The sequence below is a fragment of the Homo sapiens genome, chromosome 17, assembly GCF_000001405.40.
Source record: "Homo sapiens chromosome 17, GRCh38.p14 Primary Assembly".
In the NCBI taxonomy this organism is placed as follows: Eukaryota; Metazoa; Chordata; class Mammalia; order Primates; family Hominidae; genus Homo; species Homo sapiens.
This window is the reverse complement of record NC_000017.11, coordinates 57048997-57070199: the sequence shown is the minus strand read 5'-3', so window position 1 is coordinate 57070199 and position 21203 is coordinate 57048997.

The window sequence follows — 21203 nt, the reverse complement described above, 5'->3', positions numbered from 1 at the left end:
GCCTCATTCCTCTAGCCTGTGATTAGTCCACATAGTGGACACATGACCCAAGCTGGGCTTGATCAGCCTTTCTCCATGGAGGGAAGAATAAAGCTAACAGGAAAAGAGCAGCAGAGATAAGAGACTGACAGTTTTTAAATTCCTGGCTCTAGTCACTCCAGCACTTTCATGGTTTGAGAACATCAGCCAATAAAGGCCTCCTTTTTTGCTTAAATTAGTTCAGCGTGGCTTTCTGTTTCTTGGAACCAAATAATCCTTAAGAGTAAGTAAGCACCTGCCTGGATTTTTCAGTCTACCTAGTATATAGTCAGAGGTTATCCAGGGAAGCAGAACTACTACTTACAGGATAGGAAATGTATTCTAGGATGAGATCTTACACATTTGTAAGGGGAGCCAAGAAAGTGAAGGTCCAGGAGAAAAGTAGTGGATCAGAGAAGAGATTACTATTTGATCAATCTGAGAAGCTAAGCACATCTAGCCCCAAAATAGGATGGCAAAACAAGCTCATGGGAGGTCAGTGGGAAGCCGTCCCTTTGCATAGCTACTGCCTTTGTGCATCACTGTCAAGTATATGGTGGTGAGTCAAGAGTCACCATTGGGCTGGGTGCAATGGCTCACACCTGTAATCCCAGCACTTTGGGAGGCCAAGGCAGTTGGATCACTTGAGGCCAGGAGTTTGAGACCAGGCTGGCTGGCCAGCATGACGAAATCAAGTCTCCACTAAAAATACAAAGATTACCTGGACGTGGTGGCATGCGCCTGTAGTCCCAGCTACTTGGGAGGCTGAGGCACAATAATTGCTTGAACCCGGGAGGCGGAGGTTTCAGTGAGCCAAGGTCACGCCATTGCATTCCAGTCTGGAGGACAGAGCCAGACTCTGTCTCAAACAAAACAAAACAAAACAAACAAAAACACCATTGTTCCATAACATCAGCAGTTGGTAAGAAGAGGTAGATTGGGAGCAGAAGACAGCAAGAAAAAAAAAACGGGCCCTACACCTGGAACCAGAGGTGCCAGTGGTCATAGGCACCTCTGCATTTGTCTGTAACCACTTCTAATCACGACAGCCTACAGAGGGTAATAGCTGCTGCTTCACCTCTCTAATATCCTGCAAATTCCTCTTTTGGCGAACTCACTCTTGAAACCATATGGGGAATGGGATTCTGGGAAATGTAGATCCCAACTTATTCAAGTTTACACAGTACAAATTGCCCTAGCCTTAAGCCAGGCAGCCACAAATTGAGGACTTTATGTAAAGGTTCCCCAGCAAAGAAGGAGAACCAGTTGTTACATCATTTGACTTATCCAGGAGCCCTGCAGCAGTCTGCCCCTGCTCTTCTCATTGGGAAAATTTTCTCACACCCTTTCTGGTTCCTAGCCTTTCCAGCCCTCTTCTCTATATCTCAGAGCTCTTGAACCTCCTTTGAACCTGGAGGCTCAGCCCTGCCACAATTTTTAGGAGCGATCCTGATTTTAGAAAGAAAGAGTAGGATGTTTGGCTTGGTACTGGGGAATACAACACAAAGTAAGTTTGCTCTGGGGTCTGCTTGGACTTCTGGCCCCTGTCTTAGGTTCTGTTGGCTAGCTTCTGCCTCATTCCCGGGGCCAAAAGTCCTCCCCCAACCCCAACTTTTTTTTTTTTTTTTTTTTTTTTTTAAGACACAGGATCTGCACCCAGGCTGCAGTGCATAGTGCAGTGGTGTGATGATGATCTGCTGAGCACTCCCTCCAGGCCTTCCGGGACTAAGTCCCTCCCCATGCTCCACCCATCCAGCGGTGCGGGGGTGGGGGGGGGGGCAATGTTGCTGCTTACCTGCTGACATGCTTTCCCAACAACAGCTCCCACAAGCTTGATTTCTGATTACAGCCAACCCATAACATGCTTGAGCAACACTTTTCCAAGCCTTTTTGAATCTCTGTGTTGTTTATGCAGATGCCCCTTTTTCTCCAGAATCAAAGGCTTGCTGCTGCTTGTGGATAGCCTCACGTCTCATGTTAACCTCCTTTTCAACTTTCACTAAAGTTTAACTCTCCTTTGATGACCCTTTTTGGGGTCATATTCAAATAGCTTCTTCAATGTCTTTTTTTTTTTTAATTAGAGTATAAGTGGGGGCCAGGGGCAGTGGCTCATTCAAGTAATCCAGCACTTTGGGATGGGCAGGAGTTAGAGGCTGTAGTGATCACACCATTGCATTCCAGCCTGGGTGACAGAGGGAGACACAGAGAGAGAGAGAGACAGACAGACAGACAAGTGCAAGTGGGCCTGGTCAACCCCTTCTAGCCAAGCACAGCTGAGTTTCACATTCAGTTATATTTCATTTTCTGGCTGAATTTCTCTTCAGTTTAATACCAGTAAGAAGCAGCTGACTTTTTTCCAAAGAAAAACCACTGTGGTCATTTTTATTTTTTTAATTACCGAAGGAAAATTTCTGCATACCCAACCATGAACAAAGAAACACAAAGTTATGGTGAGATGGAATGCCAGCCATTCACTTAAGTCGTTCTTAGGTCCTCAGGTGTTTAAGATCCTTGTCCTGGCAAAATGGCAAATGACTACATATCATGGATCTCTGGGATCACCCCACAGTATTTTGAATGGTGACTGTGGTATCCAAGAATGCCAAGGGTGTTAATTAAACATCTGATCTGTTGCTACACTCTGTCCACCTCTTGTTATACGAGATGACTCTGAGGCCTCCCATTTTACTATAAAACTGTTTATTATCAGCTTCCTTGCACCCCAAGTTCCAAGTTCTGCCTGCCATACTGGATGGCCTCCCGGCACCCACACTCATGGGCTTCCCTCCCAGGACATGCCCCACCCCAGTGGGCGTGTCACGTGCCAGGTGTCCACACCTCCCAGTGCATCTTGTTTCCTCAATACTAGACCCAGTTGGCTAGAAGGACTGTCATTACCAATAGCACATTTAGCACTGAAGGTACTGACTCATGGAAATTGTTTCAAATACCTCTGCTTGCTCTCCAGGGAAACAGATCAAGAGAAAATCTTTGAGGTATGTTTGGATCATCAAACCATCTCATATGAGCCATGCTAAGGTCTAACTAATCCAGCAAGATTATAATTGACCACATGATAGCCATCAAATTAGGCTTGAGTTCAAGCGTATGATCCAGTGGTACTTCTATGTGCTCTACAGTTCATTGGACTCCCTGTGTAATCACTGTGTAGAGTACCTCAAACCCATTTTATAGAAGCTGGAGTGGCACGTGTTTATTGTTTTAGGTGATTACAGATTTTTATAATCTTTTAGGATGTATTTTTGACTTATTCAGTTCTGAGTCCTTGGTCAGGAGTACGTGGTCCCGTTTTACTAGTTTTCCTATGGTAAAATGCAATGTACCTATTTTTTTCATTCCATGAATATTTTAATGTTTAAACAATCCACTCTACACTAAGCACATAATGAGCGTTCAGCCTCTGACTTGGCACTGAGGTTATGGGCATGTGTGGCACAGGATAGTGGGGAGGGCTTGAGCATGAAACTTCGTGAAATAAGTGTGATCTTTGGGCAAGGCAGGTGGCTCACACCTGTAATCCCAGCACTTTGGGAGGCCAAAGCCGTCACTTGAGACCAGGAATTTGAGACCAGCCTGGCCAACATGGTGAAACTCTGTCTCTACTAAAAATACAAAAGTTAGCTGGGTGTGGTGGCGCACATCTGTAATCCCAGCTACTCGAGAGGCTGAGACAGGAGAACAGCTTGAACCTGGGAGGTGGAGGTTGCAGTGAGCCAAGATCACGCCATTGCACTCCAGCCTGGGTGAAAGAGCTAGACTCTGTCTCAAAAAATATGTGTGTGTGTGTGTCTGTGTGTGTGTGTGCATGTGTGTGTGTGTGTATAAAATCTTTGGAGGAAAAGCTCTGTTCTAGGACTTGTAACTGTGACAAGTTTCCTAAAAGGTAATAAATAAATAAATAGAGTAGGGAGTAGAATAGGGAGACTGCTGGTTAGTTGGGATGGGCCTTGGCCAGGTTTTCTCTCGTCTTAGTTCATTTTCAGTTCTTTATAACAGAACACCTGAAACTGGGTAATTTATAAATAAAAGAAATTGCCAGGCATGGTGGTTCACACCTGTAATCCCAGCACTTTGGGAGGCCAAGGCGGGTGAATCACAAGGTCAGCAGTTCGAGACCAGCCTGGCCAACATGGTGAAACCCCGTCTCTACTAAAAATACAAAAATTAGCTGGACATGATGGCGGATGCCTGTAATCCCAGCTACCCGGGAGGCTGAGGCAGGAGAATCACTTGAACCCAGAAGGTGGAGGTTGCAGTGAGCCCAAACCGTGCCATTGCACTCCAGCCTGGGCGACAGAGCAAGACTCTGTTGCCAAAAAAAAAAAAAAAAAAAGAAGAAGAAAAAGAAGAAGAAGAAATGTATTTCTTATAATTATGGAAGCTGAGAAATCCCAGGTCGAGAGCTTGCATTTGCTGAGGGTCTTCTTGCTGGTGGGGTCTCCCTGGAGGCAACTCAGGGCATCACAGGGCAAGGGGCTAAGTGTGCTAGCAAAAGTCTCTTTCTCTTCTTATAAAGCCACCAGTCTCATTCCCATGATATCTCATTAATCCATGAACCCATTAACCCTTTAATCCACGAATGAGCTAATCCATTCATGAGGGTTCTGCCCTCATTACCCAGTTACCTCTTAAATGTGCCACCTCTCAACACTGCCACATTAGGAATTAGATTTCAACATGAGTTTTGGAGGAGACAAATAATCAAACCATAGGTCCTCCTAAGTAAGACTCAACACCCTCAGCTTCCCCTAGTTTTCCTCCTGTGGAATTTCAGCTTGTTCTTTGCTCTTACTCTGGACAAAATGGAGTCATTCCTTTGTCCCTAGCCCTATTTTGGCTACAGGCCTGAGCACTCTTCCTCTGTAACCGTAGCCCCTCCTATTAAGCACCTATTGTAGGCCAAATCATGGCTCCCCAAATATCTTAATCCTCAGAACCTGTGAATATGCTACCTTACACCATAAAGGTGTCATTGAGGTGGAGATCTTGAGATGTGGGGCGATTATCCTGGATTATCTGTATGGGCCCACTGTTAACACAAAGGTCCTTATAGGAGGGTCAGAGTCAGAGAAGGAGATGTGAATATGGAAGCAGAAGTCCAAGCAGTGCAGAGCCATGAGCCAAGGAATATGGGCAGCCTCTGAAAGCTGAAAAAGGCGAGGAACAGAGTCTCCAGGAGAAAGATAGCCTGACCACCATCTTGATTTTAGCCCTGTGAGACACATTTTCGATTTCTATCTCCAAAGCTGTAAGAGAATAAATGTGTGCCATTTTATGGCACTAAGTTCAGGGTGATTCATTCCAGCAGCAATAGGAAACTACTACAGCTTCCCAGCTAGCGCTGATGGGAAGATAGAGGCAGAGCCATGCTGCCCAATATGGTAGCCGCTTGCCACATGTAGCTATTGAGCGGTTGAAATGGGGTTAATATGAATTGAAATGTGCTGTAAGTATAAAATACACACCAGGCCTGGCGTGGTGGCTCATGCCTGTAATCCCAGCACTTTGGGAGGCCGAGGCAGGTGGATCGTTTGAGGTCAGGAGTTTGAGACCAGCCTGGGCAACATGCTGAAACCCCATCTCTACTAAAATACAAAAATTAGCTGGGCATGGTGGCGGGTGCCTGTAATTCCAGCTACTCAGGAGGTCAAAGCAGGAGAATCACTTGAACCCGGGAGGCAGAGGTTGCAGGGAGCCAGGATCGCACCACTACACTCCAGCCTGGGCGACAGAGCAAGACTCCATCTCAAACAAAACAACACAACAAAACAGATTTTAAGGACTCAGTTAACATGTTAGATACAAGGGGTTTAATAAAATATTAAAATTACTTTCATCTGTTTGTTTTTACTTATTTAAATGTGACCACTAGAAAATTCAGAAGCATACATGTAACTTTCATTGTATTTCTATTGATCAGGGCTGCTCTAGATGAATCTCACTACTGCAGTTTCTTTTTTCTTTCTTTCTTTCTTTTTTTTTTTTTTTTCTTTTTTGAGACAGTCTTACTCTGTCGCCCAGGCTGGAGTGCATTAGCATGATCCCGGCTCCCTGCAACCTCTCCCTCCCGGGTTCAAGTGATCCTCCCACCTCAGCCTCCTGAGTAGTTGGGACTACAAGCATGCGCCACCACACCCGGCTAATTTTTGTAATTTTTGTAGAGATAGGACTTTTCATGTTGCCCATGACAAAACTGGACTCAAGGCATCCACCTACCTTGGCTTCCAAAAGTGCTGGGATTACAGGTGTGAGCCACCATGCCCCACCTCACTGCTGCAGTTGCAGAAGTCACTCTAAAACCCTACTGGATTGTCCCAGACCTTCTGCTCCCAGCTCATATGCCTTTGGTTCCTGTCAAGTATTCCAGGACACTGCCAGAAGAGAACCCTGCCCTGAACTACCCTGAACCTGTCTGGTTTGGGCTCTGATATCCTGCCTTAAGTTTTTCAAACTTCACTTTTGTGAGCTGGGAGCATCTTCAAGAAAAAGAACACAAAATCAGCAAGCACTAAAACCTTGGCGCAATCTGTACAAATGAGGGACCTCAAAACTTAAGCTTCATTTGCCTCATGGTAAATCTGCCTCTGCCCTGTCTCTCAAATCTCACCTAGCGTGGCTCCTTTCCCTATTCTAGTCTGCCGAAGATCCCACTCTCCAGAGATCTTTGACTAGTTCCTAAGACGACATCCAAAGTGACCACTGCCCTTAACCCAGGCAAGCGGGGAACTTGAGCTTTGGAGGACCACACATATAACAAACACAACACATTTGTATACTAAAGAATGTATGGGTGTCTGCAACTTGATATTTGCCCCTTAGTGCTGGCATGATACAACCAATATACCCCACCCATCTGTTCTCATGACTTACGCTGTTTCAGGGCCCAAGAAATTCCTTCTTTACACCCTAGTCCTATGTCCTTGAAACAAAAAAAGGAAATTAATCAGAATGCCGTGGAGATTTGTAAGTTGTGCCGCTGCTAACATAGAGCTAGACACTGCTTTAGATCTCAGGGAGGAGGAGACATTAATAAAAAAAGACTAATGAACTTGTCAAATCTTCTCAGCACAAGTGCAATAGATTCTTGCATAACAAGGTACCATTTGTTAGTGATGCATGATTCTGGTATTTGCAACAGTTGCAAGTGACAGCTGAATATTTTGTAACATCAAATAATTCTTATTATTCTTATATTTGTATATACTCAGGTGTAGAGACAACATTCATCAAACAATATGAATTGACAACTACATGGACAAATACAATGATAACCAGATTGACACTGAATGCTAGAGTTATGAATTTTTATAAAAACATTAGTATTTCCAGAAATTTAAATACAAATTCAGCCTTATTTAAATATTTTTACATAAAATAATTTAAAAATTCTTTAAATAATTTGAATAAGTATAATTTAGTAAGTATAAATAAATAACTTAAATAAGTATAAGTCAAGATCACATTGAGATAGAAAATACAGAAATGGGCTGGGCACGGTGGCTCACACCTGTAATCCCAGCACTTTGGGAGGCTGAGGGCAGGCAGATAACTTGAGGTCAGGAGTTCGAGACCAGCCTGGACAACATGGTGAAACCCCGTCTCTACTAATAATACAAAAAAAAAATTAGCCGGGCATGGTGGCACACGCCTGTAGTCCCAGCTACTCAGGAGGCTGAGGCAGGAAATGTGCTTGAACCCGGGAGGTGGAGGTTGCAGTGAGCCGAGATTTCACCACTGCACTGCACTCCAGCCTCGGCAACGAGTGAAACGGTGTCACAAAAGAAAGAGAGAGAGAGAGAAAGAGAGAGAGAGAAAGAGAGAGAGAGAGAAAGAAAGAGAGGCAGAAAGAGAGAGAGAAAGAAAGAGAAAAGAAAGAAAAAGAAAGGAAAGAAAGAAAGAAAGAAAGAAAGAAAGAGAGAAAAGAAAGAAAGAAAGAAAGAAAGAAAGAAAGAAGAAAGAAAGAAAGAAAGAAAGAAAGAAAGAAAGAAAAAGAAAATACAGAAGTGGAACTTAGAGAACAAAAAGCCTGAAAGAAGAGAAAATAGAAAGCAGTCTGCTTAAATTTCTTTCTTTTTTTTTTTTTTGAGAAGGAGTCTCACTCTGTCACCCAGGCCGGAGTGCAGTCGTGCGATCTTGGCTCACTGCAAGCTCCGCCTCCCGGGTTCACAGGACTACAGGCGCCTGCAACCACGCCCGGCTAATTTTTTGCATTTTTTTAGTAGAGACGGGGTTTCACCGTGTTAGCCAGGATGGTCTCGATCTCCTGACCTCGTGATCTGCCCGCCTCGGCCTCCCAAAGTGCAGGGATTACAGGCGTGAGCCACCGTGCCCGGTCCAGTCTGCTTAAATTTCTAAAAACTGGCAACAATGAAAGTGAATCGACGTCTGCTGAGCATGACTCACATAAAATTTGCAGACAAGACTTTCACAAATTCCTTATTTAATAAAGATTTAATTACTAATCGTATGAAAATGAACAAAAAATATCTTCAAACCCATAATTTGAAAAGATCCGTTGAAATCCGTACAACTTGACATTCTTCCCTAAGTGAAGACTGAATTATTGATCAAAACAAGAACAAGAAAAGAATTATTTGTAACAAATTTATAACTCAAAAACCCAAATGCAACAACTCCAGCATGTCCATTAGTATGTGAAGAAAACTGCATTTATAAAAGCTGCAATTGAATGTGAAAATCAAAAACCTCTGGGGCTTTATTATGCTTTTTGGATGGTGATCCTAAAAAATGGTGATCACATCCTTCTAATAGCATAAAGATGTTTCTAGCAAAATGCAATTCAATTCAAATTAATGAGCCAGTTGCGGTGGCTCACACCTGTAGTCCCAGCACTTTGGGAGGCCGAGGTGGGTGGATCTCCTGAGGTCAGGAGTTCGGGACCAGCCTGGCCAACGTGGTGAAACCCCATCTCTACTAAAAATACAAAAACATAGCTGGATGTGGTGGCAGGTGCCTGTTGTACCAGCTACTCGGGAGGCTGAGGTAGGAGAATCACTTGAATCCAAGAGGCAGAGGTTGCAGTGAGCCAAGATCATACCACTGCACTCCAGCCTGGGTGGCAGAGAGAGAGAAAAAAAAAGAAAAACCCACAAATTAATCATTACAACTTCCCACTGCACGAACATGGCAGATAATTATTTAATTTTATGTAAAAATTATTTTAGATGGAGAAAGAAATTGCAGAAATCGGTGTTACTTTTTTTATATATTTTTTTATAGCCTAAGTACAAAGTATTTTGTTACTACTGTGACAGAGTTTTACAACAAATTCTGGGCTACAGAGAAATACCCTCTCTCAATAAATAAATAAAGGCAATTTTACAAAAAAGCATTGAAAAGATCAAGCATAGGCCGGGCGCGGTGGCTCACACCTGTAATCCCAGCACTTTGGGAGGCCGAGGCAGGCAGATCACTTGAGGTCAGGAGTTCGAGACCAGCCTGTACAACATGGTGAAACCCCATCTCTACTAAAAATACCAGAATTAGCCAGCTGTGGTGGCGGACGCCTGTATTCCCAGCTACTTGGGAGGCTGAGGCAGGAGAATCGCTTGAACCCAGGAGGCAGAGGTTGCAGCGAGCCGAGATCACACCACTGCACTCCAGCCTGGGCGACAGAGTGAGACTCCGTCTCAAAAAAAAAAAAAAAAAAATCAAGCATAATGATATTTGTGTCAATGACAGCTCAATGTTTATAGAAAAAAGTGGACATTTTCTAGGTTTTATAGAAATTATGTGATGCAAAAATGTTTATCATGTAATACAGGTTTTAAAAAATGCATTAAATGACCAGGCACAATGACTCATGCCTGTAATCTTAGCACTTGGGTAGGCTAAGGTGAGAGGATCATTTGAGCCCAGGAGTTTGAGACTAACCTGGGCAATATAGTGAGACTCCATCTCTGTAAAAATAAAAATAAAAATAATTATATATTTTAAAATGCACTAAATGATCGCCATGTAGAATGGAGAACTCAAAATGAGATTACCACTTTAATTGGTTTTAAAGTGAGAGAAGAAATCATAGACAACATATTTAGAAGTAACTCTTACTCAGCTTAAATAGATTATATTATGGACAAAAAGCATGGAATATTTAAACATTTTTAAATATTTGTGATGAGCCCAGTGAATACTATAGGTCTCTTTCAGTTGCAAATGGAAAAAATTAAATTAGAACTGGCCTAAGCAGAAAAGGGAATTTATTTACTGGCTCACCTAAATCTAGGGGTTGTTGGCTTCAGACACAGTTGGATCCAGGTACTCAAATATGTCATCACTCATCAATCTGTCCTTTGTCTGGGCTTTGTTCTCAGTGGATGTCTCCCCAGGTCATAACAAAAATGGCCTTCAGCAGCTTCACATTTATTTCCCATCAACTATGAAAGGGTGGATCATCTGAGGTCAGGAGTTTGAGATCAGCCTGGCCAACATGGTGAAACTCCATCTTTACTAAAAATACAAAAATTAGCCAATCATGGTGGCATGTGCCTGCAATCCCAGCTATTCAGGAGGCTGAGGTGGGAGAATCACTTGAACCCGGGAGGCAGAGGTTGCAGTGAGCCAAGATCGCACCACTGCACTGCAGCCTGGGTGACAGAGTGAGACTTCATCTCAAAATAATAATAATAATAATAATAATAATAAATAAATAAATATGGTCTAACTCCCTACTTTAACAAATATAGCTTTATAACAACAAAACAAATACTTTAATGACAATGAAATTTTAAAACTTCATAGAACTGTGGTTTTTACATGACTGAAAGTAGGGGAAATAGCAAAGATAACTGAATGTAATGATTACTGCAGATGTACAACCAATGAAATATTAATTGATTTCAATATCTTTGTTTTTTCTCCCTTCTGGTTGTTCATCAATATGTATACTACATGATACATGTTGTCCATGATTTTTGTCCATAATATAATCTATTTAAACTGAGTAAGAGTTACTTCTAAATATGTTGTCTATGATTTCTTCTGTCACTTTAAAACCAATTAAAGTAGTAACCTCATTTTGAGTTCTCCATTCTACGTGGCGATCATTTAGTGCATTTTAAAATATATAATTATTTTTATTTTTATTTTTACAGAGATGAAGTCTCACTATATTGTCCAGGTTAGTCTCAAACTCCTGGGCTCAAATGATCCTCTCACCTTAGCCTACCCAAGTGCTAAGATTACAGGCATGAGTCATTATGCCTGGTCATTTAATGCATTTTTTAAAATCTGTATTACATGATAAACATTCTTGCATCACATAATTTCTATAAAACCTAGAAAATGTCCACTGTTTTCTATAAACATTGAGCTGTCATTGACACAAATATCATCATGCTTGATTTTTTTTTTCATCACAAATATTCTCTTTCCTTTTCCAAACATGCAGTAGGCATGTACTTCCACGCTCTCTTTGAAGTGAGGTATGGTCATGAGACTTGCTTTGACAAAGGACATGAGAGCCAATATGTGAGGAGTCAGTGCATGCATGACCTGCCACTTACCCTTCTTCATCCCTTTTTCCGTTTTTTTTTCTTTCTTTGAGACGGAGTCTTGCTCTTGTTGCCCAGGCTGAAGTGCAGTGGCACAATCTCGGCTCACTGTAACCTCCACCTCCTGGGTTCAGGCGATTCTCCTGCCTCAGCCTCCCGGGTAGCTGGGATTATAGGCATGCGCCACCACACCCAGGTAATTTTTTTTTTTTTTTTTTTTGAGATGGAGTCTCACTCTATTGCCCAGGCTGGAGTACAATGGCACAATCTCCGCTCACTGCAGCCTCCACCTCCCGGATTCAAGCGATTCTCCTGCCTCAGCCTCCCAAGTAGCTGGGATTACAGGCGCTCACCACCATGCTCAGCTAATTTTTGTATTTTATTAGAGATGGGGTTTCACCATGTTGGCCAGGCTGGTCTTGAACTCCTGAGCTTGTGATCCGCCCGCCTCGGCCTCCCAAAATGCTGGGATTACAGGCATGAGCCACCATACTCGGCCTAATTTTGTATTTTTAATAGAGACAGGGTTTCTCCATGTTGGTCAGGCTGGTCTTGAACATTACCTATCTGGTATGAAAAGAAAAAAAACGGCAGGCCCCAAACAAGGCTGAAGTTCCATGTCATCAAACCAAACCAAAGTTGCTTACTTGTAAGATCAGATCTTCAAGAAATCAGGAGAGAGATGATAACCAAATCCTATTAAGCCAGTAAGATTTCACTTACATTCTTACAAGGAAAGTAATCTTGAAATGATTAATCCACCATTTGTTCATTGTTCCTGCTTTCCTCTGTCTCTTTCTGCCTATAAAACTTACCCATTCTGTCTAGCTCATTGGCGCTCCTTTCTGTTTTGTAGATTGGATGCTGCGTGGTTCATGAATTGCTAATAAAAGCTAATCAGATTTTTGAAACTCAATTTGTTGACCTTTTGTTCTTTGATGACCACTTCACCTCCAATTTTAGGTTCTTTTTCTTTCTTCATCAATAGACCTGTCTATACTTCTCATTAAGCAGTAATGGCTAAAAACCATTATAGCCATTTGAGAAGCACTTTCTTTTTATAATCTTTTTGCCTTGCTCCTCACTAGCATAGTGTTTAAGAGGACAGACTCTAGAGTCCAGCAAGCCAGACTCAAATCCCAGCTCTATCACATACTAGTTTTGTGACCTGAGCCAGTTAGTTAATTTGTCTGTGCCTCCATTTTCTTGTCTCTAGAATGGGGACAAAAATAATACCTGCTTTTTACGATTGTTGTGAAGATTGAATGAGATATTTCACATAAACACTTAGCCCAATGCCTGGTACAGAGTGAGTGCTGAATAAATATTAGCTATCATTTATTAGTGCCTTATTAGTGCTTTATTGCTCTAAGCTTCAGCTTACCCTGTAATTCTGGCATTTCTGGCCCACCAGTGCAAGTTACAGTCAAGGAGTCTGTATCACAAAATAGAACTCCTATATAATCCAGCAATCTTACTTCTCGGTATACAGTCATCCCTTGGTATCAGTGGGGATTAGCTCTGGGACCTCACATTGATACCAAAATCCACAGATGCTCAAGTCCCTGATATAAAATGTTGTAGTATTTTAGCTGGGATTGGTAGCATGCACCTGTAGTCCCAGCTACTTAGGAGGCTCAGGTGTGAGGATTGCTTCAGCCCAGGAGATCAAGCCTGCAGTGAGCCATGATGGTGTCAGTGTACTCCAGCTTGGGTAATGGAGTGAGACGCTGTCTCAAAAAAAAAAGTTGTAGTATTTGCATATGACCTGTGCACATTCTCCTATATACTTTAAATCATCTCTAGATTACTTATAATACTCGGCACAATGTAAATGCTATGTAAATCATTTTTGTCACTCAGGCTAGAGTGCAGTGGCACAACACAGCTCACTGCAGCTTCCACCTCCTAGGCTCAATGCGTCCTCCTGCCTCATCCTCCTGAGTAACTGAGACTACAGGTGTGCACCACTGTGCCAGCCTACATTTTCTACTTTTTTTTTTTCTTTGAAAGGAAGTCTCACTCTGTCACCCAGGCTATGGTCCACCCAGGCTGGAATGCAGTGGCATGATCTTGGCTCACTGCAACCTCCGCCTCCCAGGTTCAAGCGATACTTCTGCCTCAGCCTCCCAAGTAGCTGGGACTACAGGCACGTGCCACCATGCCTGGCTAATTTTTTTTTTTTTTTGTATTTTTTAGTAGAGATGGGGGTTTCGCCATGTTGGCCAGGCTGGTCTCAAACTCCTGACGTCAAGTGATCCTCCTGCCTCAGTTTCTCAAAGTGCTGAGATTACAGGCATGAGCCACCGTGTCCGGGTAAATTTTCTACTTTTTGTAGAAACAGGGTGTCCCTATGTTGCCCGGGTTGGTTTTGAACTCCTGGGCTCAAGTGATCCTCCCATCTTGGCCTCCCAAAGTGCTGGGATTACAGGCATATGCCACTGCCCATGGCCTAAATAGTTGTAATACACTGTTTGTTTGTTGTTTGTTCGTTTGTTTGTTTTGAGATGGAGTTTCACTCTTGTTGCCCAGGCCGGAGTGCAATGGTGTGATCTCGGCTCACCGCAACCTCCACCTCACGGGTTCAAGTGATTCTCCTGCCTCATCCTCCCGAGTAGCTGGGATTACAGGCATGCACCACCACGCCTGCTAATTTTGCATTTTTAGTAGAGACAGGGTTTCTCCATGTTGGTCAAGCTGTTCTCGAACTCCTAACTTCAGGTGTTCCACCTGCCTCAGCCTCCCAAAGTGCTAGTATTATAGGCGTGAGCCCCTGTGCCTGGCCCCAAAGTCCTGGGATTACAGGCATAAGCCACTGCTCATGGCCTAAATAGTTGTTATACTCTATTGTTTAAAAAACAACAATCAAAAAAAGTCTGTTCATGTTCAGTAGAGATGCAATATTTTAAAATATGTTTGATCCTTTGTTGGTTGAATCCATGGATTTGGAAACTACAGATATGGAGGGTCAACTGTATATCCAAAGTAAATGAAATCAGTATCTAAAAGAGATATCTGCACCCCCATGTTCATTGCAGCCTTATTCACAATAGCTAAGATGTGGAAACAACCCATGTTCATCAACAGATCAATGGATAAAGAAAATGCGGTATATATACATACATAGCGGAACATTATTCAGCCTTTAAAAAGGACTTTCTGCCATTTGGGACATGGATGAGCCAGGAAGATATTACGCTAAGTGAAATAAACCAGGCACAGAAAGACAATTACTCTATGATTCCACTTGTTTGTGGAATCTAAAAAAGTTGAACTTGGCTTGGCGTGGTGGCTCCCACCTGCAATGCCAGCACTTTGGGAGGTTGAGGTGGATTGCTTAAGCTCAGAAGTTCGAGATCAGCCTGGGCAACATGGCAAAACCCCATTTCTATAAAAAATACAAAAATTAGCCAGGTGTGGTGGCATGTGCCTATAGTCCCAGCTACTTGGGGGATTGAGGTCAGAGGACCACTTGAGCTTGGGAGTTCAAGGCTGCAGTGAGCTGTGGTACCACCAGTGCACTGCAGCCTGGGTGACAGAGCAAGCCCCTGTCTCAATAAATAGATAAATAGAATAAATAAAAATTTAAAAATTAAAAAGTTGAACTCATAGAAGCAGAGTAAAATGGTGGTTACCAGAGGCTGGGGTGTGAAGGAAGTGAAGAGATGTTGATGAAAGGGTACAAACTTTCATTTATAATATGAACAAGTTCTGGGGATCTAATTTACAACATAGTGTACATTACTGTATCAATTACTTGAAATTTGATGAGGGAACAGAATTTAAATGACCTTAGCCCACCACACACAGACAGTGGTAACTATGGATGATGACAGGTATGTTAATTTGATTGTGATGATCATTATATAATGTATATGTATATCAAATCATGTACATATTAAATATATACAATTTTTATTCGTAAATTAACTTTTTTAATTAAAAATATTGACTGCTGCAAGCCCAAAAGACTAAAAGGAAAAATAAAATGGATGCTATGTCTCAGACGTCTCCCGTTTCTTCATTTACCTGTAGCTTTGCTCACACTTCTTGCCTCTCCCTGCAAGGGACTCATAGCTGATCCACAGCCACTTGGGAGCACCCTCGAGTTAGGGCCAATCTGTTCTTCCTCCTGACAGGTGCTTCAGATCCCAGCCAGCAAAGATCATTTTCAGAAACTTTCACTTTCATATCTAGCCAGAGCTGGAAACTGGGCATGTCCTTCCAAACAGTTGGCAGGAAGCTGGTTCCCAACCGCTAAGAAGCAATAAAACCAAGGCCACTCCTGCAGAAGAAGGCTTCTAACAGCACAGGATTCAAGCTCTATAGAGGTAACTCCCAGCCATAGCAGCAGTGTTTGTAAGTGTGGCTGGATCAGTATTTCAGAGTTCCCCTTCACTGTCATCAAATTCCCTTAGGACCTCCCTGCAAACCTCACCTTTTGTAACTGAGTCACCCGCCTGCAGAACCAGATAACAAAGAAGGTGAATTCAGGACAGTTATATGCAAAAATGCTGCTGGGCTGAGCCAAGACAAAAGTTGGAGGACACATTTGCAGAGGAATATGATTGTGTTTTTTTGCATGTTTGTTTGTTTTCGTGTGAGACAGAGTCCCCTCTGTTACCCAGGCTAGAGTGCAGTGGCGCAATCTCGGCTCACTGCAGCCTCCACCTCCTGGGTTCAAGCAACTCTCCTGCCTCAGCCTCCCAAGTAGCTGGGATTACAGGCATGCGCCACCATGCCTGGGTAATTTTTGTATTTTTAATAGAGACGGGGTTTCTCCAATGTTGGTCAGGCTGATCTTGAACTTCTGACCTCAGGTGATCCACCCACCTCAGCCTCCCAAAGTGCTGGGATTACAGGCATGAGCCACGCACCCTGACAATGATCTGGAAAATATAAAACTACAGAGACAGTAAAAAGATCACTGGTTGCCAGGGATTAGCTACTCGGGAGGCCGAGGCATGAGAATCACTCAAACCCAGGAGACAGAGGTTGCATTGAGCCAAGATCATGCCACTGCACTCCAGCCTGGGCCACAGAGCCAGACTCTGTCTCAAAAAAAAAAAAAAAAAAATATATATATATATATATATATATATATATATATAAAATATATTTATATATAAAATATATATATTATATATTTTATATATAAATATATAATATATTATATATAGTTATAGAGTCACACAATATGTATTACTTTCAGATTGGCTTCTTATATTTAGCAATATGAATTTAAGTTTCCTCCATGTCTTTATGTCTTTTTTGTTTTGTCTTGTTTTTCTTTTTTTTCCTTTTTTTTTGAGATGGAGTCTCACTCTGTCGCCCAGGCTGGAGTGCAGTGGCATGATCTCAGCTCACTGCAAGTTCCACCTCCCGGGTTCAACAATTTTCCTGCCTCAGCCTCCCGAGTAGCTGGGACTACAGGCGCCCGCCACCACACCTGGCTAATTTTTTTTTAAAATTTTTAGTAGAGACGGGGTTTCACCATCTTGGCCAAGCTGGTCTCAAACTCCTGACCTCGTGATCTGCCTGCCTCGGCCTCCCAAAGTGCTGGGATTACAGGCATGAGCCACCGCGCCTGGCCTTGTTTTGTCTTGTTTTTCGATTTTTGAGATGGGGGTCTCACTGTTTTTCCCAGGCTGGTTACAAACCTCCATGTTTTTTCCTGGCTTGATGCCACATATCCCCCCCTCCCCCATTTTTTTATTGCGGTAAAATACACACAACATAAAATTTACGACTGTAACCTTTTTTTTTTTTTTTTGGTGGAGTCTTGTTCTGTCACCCAGGCTGGAGTTCAATGGCGTGATCTCGACTCACTGCAACCTCCACCTCCCAGGTTCAAGCGATTCTCATGCCTTAGCCTCCAGAGTAGCTAGGATTACAGGCACGCACCACCACACCCAGCTAATTTTTGTATTTTTAGTAGAGACATTGGCCATCTTGGCCAGGCTGGTCTCAGACTCCTAACCTCAGGTGATCTACCCACCTCGGCCTCCCAAAATGCTGGTATTACAGGCACGAGCCACTATGCCCAGCCCACTGTAACCATTTTTAAGTGTACACTTTAGTGATATTAAATACATTCATAATGTTCTGGTACCATCACCAGTATTCAGCTCTAGAACCCTTTTCATCTTGTAAAACAGAAACTCTATATCCATTAAGTAATAAAATTCTCCTTCCTCCTTGTTTTTTAGAGATGTGGTCTCATTTTGTCCCCCAGGCTAGAGCACAGTGGCACAATCATAGCTCACTGCAGCCTCGAACTCCTGGGCTCAAGGGATCCTTCTGCCTTAACCTTCAAAGCAGCTGGGATTACAGGTGTGAGCCACTGCACCTGGCTTTTCTGACAGGTTCTTGAATGGAATCCATTAAAGCCTAATGAATCAGAGGTATCCTAGGAGTGAGCTTTCCTTCACCCTTTTGTATAAAGCTTCTCTTTGCTTTGTGAAGATCTGAGTGGCTATTGTTACAATGTGAATCAGGTTTCACTCTTAGGCAGTGGGCTCAGGAATAGAAAAAACACCAACTTGCTCAGACACGTGTATCAAATGGCAAGATGATCTCACCAAGCACTGTCCTCCTCAGAATTTATTTTGGGTGCAACACACATTAAGGACATAGTGGTAAACCAGGCTTCGAGCCATCTGTGTGAGAGATTTGCCAGAGGCACGAAGACATCGTATCCCCGGTGTCTCTGAAAAGGAGAGCTCTTTGCCTTCCATCACAGGCATAGGCAAGTACCCTGCAAATCGCTTCCCACTCAACACAATAGTTCTTGTTGCTATTTTATTTGTGAGCTACGTCATACATGCAGAGGAGTAAAGAAAACATATATGTGTCATTCAATTGTCATTATAAATTGAACACCCATATAACCACCACCAGGTCTAGAATAGTATTCAGCCCCCTCCCAGCAGCCCCTGTGTGTCCCCCTATTCCATCTCCTTCCCTCCCCCAGAAGTAGCCACTATCCTAACTTGTGGAAACCGTTTTCTTTCTTTCCTCTTTAGTGTTACAACTAAATGTGCCCCATAAACAAGCATCAGTTTGTGAATATCATATAAATGGAATTAGACCGGGTGTGGAGGTTCATGTCTGTAATAGCACTTTGGGAGGCCAAGGCAGGTGGATCACCTGAGGTCAGGAGTTCGAGACCAGCCTGGCCAATGTGGTAAAACCCTGCCGCTACTGAAAATACAAAAAAATTAGCTGGGCATGGTGGCAGGCACCTGTAATCTCAGCCACTCGGGAGGTTGAGGCAGGAGAATTGCTTGAACACTGTGGAGGTTGCAGTGAGCCGAAATCACGCCACTGCATGCCAGCCTGGGCAACAGAGGAAGACCCTGTCTCAAAAAAAAAAAAAAAAAAAAAAAGAAAAAGAAAAAGGAATGATATTGTATATATTCTTTGTGACTTGTTTCTTCCTCACAATTGTTCTTAGACAATGTGTGAAGAGGCCTTTTTGGTGCCTGCTGATGTTTTCCGGGATGGTGGATTCAGGAGTATGCTGTCTTCACAAACATTTCTGGCCTCAAAGTCACATTGAGCAGCTTGGGCCTCCTAGCTCAGCCACTTAGTGTGTGACCTTTCTTGTCCTCCTTTGTAAAATCAGAACAAATTATTCCTGTAGACATGAGCACCTCAAGAGCAGGAGTGTTCCTCATTTGCCATTCTGTTCTCTAGAACTTGCAGTGCCTGGTGCCTAATGAATCCTGAGTGAACACAGGAGACATGGTGAGATCATGTATGTAAGGGCCTAATACCACCCCTGATTTATAGCAACTGCTCAATACATGGGAGCCAATCTTATTATTGCCACAGTGTTATTTATTTGAATATGGGAGGCAGCCTCTCAGATGGCCGCCAGGGAGTCCCACCTCCTGGTATTCTTGTATTTGTACATTCCTCGACTGTACACTGGATATATTCACTCACTCCTAAGAAATAGAATGCAGCAGAAGGGATGGAATGTCACTTCCAAAATTATAAAAGACCATGGCTTTTATTTTGGGTCCTCTTTCTCACTGAGGTCTCTTGGATTGCTCACCCTAGAGGAAGCCAGCTGCCATGTCATGAGGCAGCCCTGTGGGGAGGCTCATGTGATGAGGCGACTGAGTCCTGTAGACAACAACAAATGTGAGCTTGGGAGTGGATTCTCCATCCAGTTGAGTCTTTGGAGGGGGCTGCGGTCCAGGCTGACAGCTTGACTGCCACGTTATGAAAGACCGTCAGCCAGAGGCACCCAGCTAAGCCATGCCTGGATTCCTGACCCACAGAAACTGTGAGATAACAAATGTTTGTTGTTTTCCACGACTACATTTTGTGGCAATTAGTTACACAGCGATAGATAACTAATGCAGTGCCTTTTCTTGGGTGAAAGAGTGCTGACAATTTTTAGAGCCTGTGGCAGACAAGGAGATGCACTGTTCAGATCCCCATTTAAGGGTGGGCTCACTGCCCAGCTGCAAAGATTTCAGTTCACTGACAGCCTTCAAGTCCAGCTCAGCTTTCCAGCTGAGATCATGCTCTTCTTGGGACATTCTCCCTAGTCAATGACTGGGCAAGGGGGTGGAAGAACGGCCTAGCCATCTCTGCTCAATGCTGGACCCCTCCAGTGGGTAGTTTTTGCTTCAGAGCTTCCTGTTTGGCTGGTAGAGACTTTGATAGGTCTCCTTCCATGGGTGTTGCTCCCCAATAAACCTTTCTATTTTCCATTCCCATCATAGCTTCTGCTTCCAGAGAATCCATTCTGTAATGAAATATCTACTACACAGAAACTCAAGCTTTCAGCCAGGTGCAGAGGTGCTCACCTGTAATCCCAGCACTTTGGGAGGCCAAGGCAGGAGGATCGCTTGAGCTCAGGAGTTCAAGACCGGCCTGGGCAACATAGCGAGACCCTGTCTCTGTGACACACACACACACACACACACACACACACACACACACAAATTAGCCGGGCATGGTGGTGCATGTCTATAGTCCTAACTATTGGGAGACTGAGGCAGGAGAGTCACCTGAGCCTGTGAGCTCTAGGCTGCAGTGAGCCATTATCGTACCTCTACTCCAACCTGGGCAACAGAGTGAGAGCCTGTCTCTAACAAACAAACAATCAAATAAAGGCTCAAACTTTGTAGCCAACCCAGACCTGAGTCCAAATACAGACTCTGCCCCTTGCTAGCTCTGTGACCCTGGGCAAATTACTTAACTTTTCTGAGCCTTGATTTTCCTACATGTAAAATAGATGACAAATAATGTAGGAGCTGAAATGGGATACTTATAGTGTAAAACAGAGTTCCCAGCTTCTAGTGATAGTTAAAGGATAATTTTTTTTTTTTTGAGATGGAGTCTCACTCTGTCACCCAGCCTGGAGTGCAGTGGTGTGATCTCAGCTCACTGCAACTTCCGCCTCCTGGGGTCAAGTGATTCTCGTGCCTCAGCCTCCCAAGTAGCTGAGATTACAGGTATGCGCCACCATGCCTGGCTAATTTTTGTATTTTTAGTAGAGATGGGGGTCTCACCAGGTTGGCCAGGCTGGTCTCGAACTCCTGACCTCAAGTGATCCACCCACCTCGGCCTCCCAAAGTGCTGGGATTACAGGTGTGAGCCATCGCACCCAGCCAGGAGAACTATTGTCTA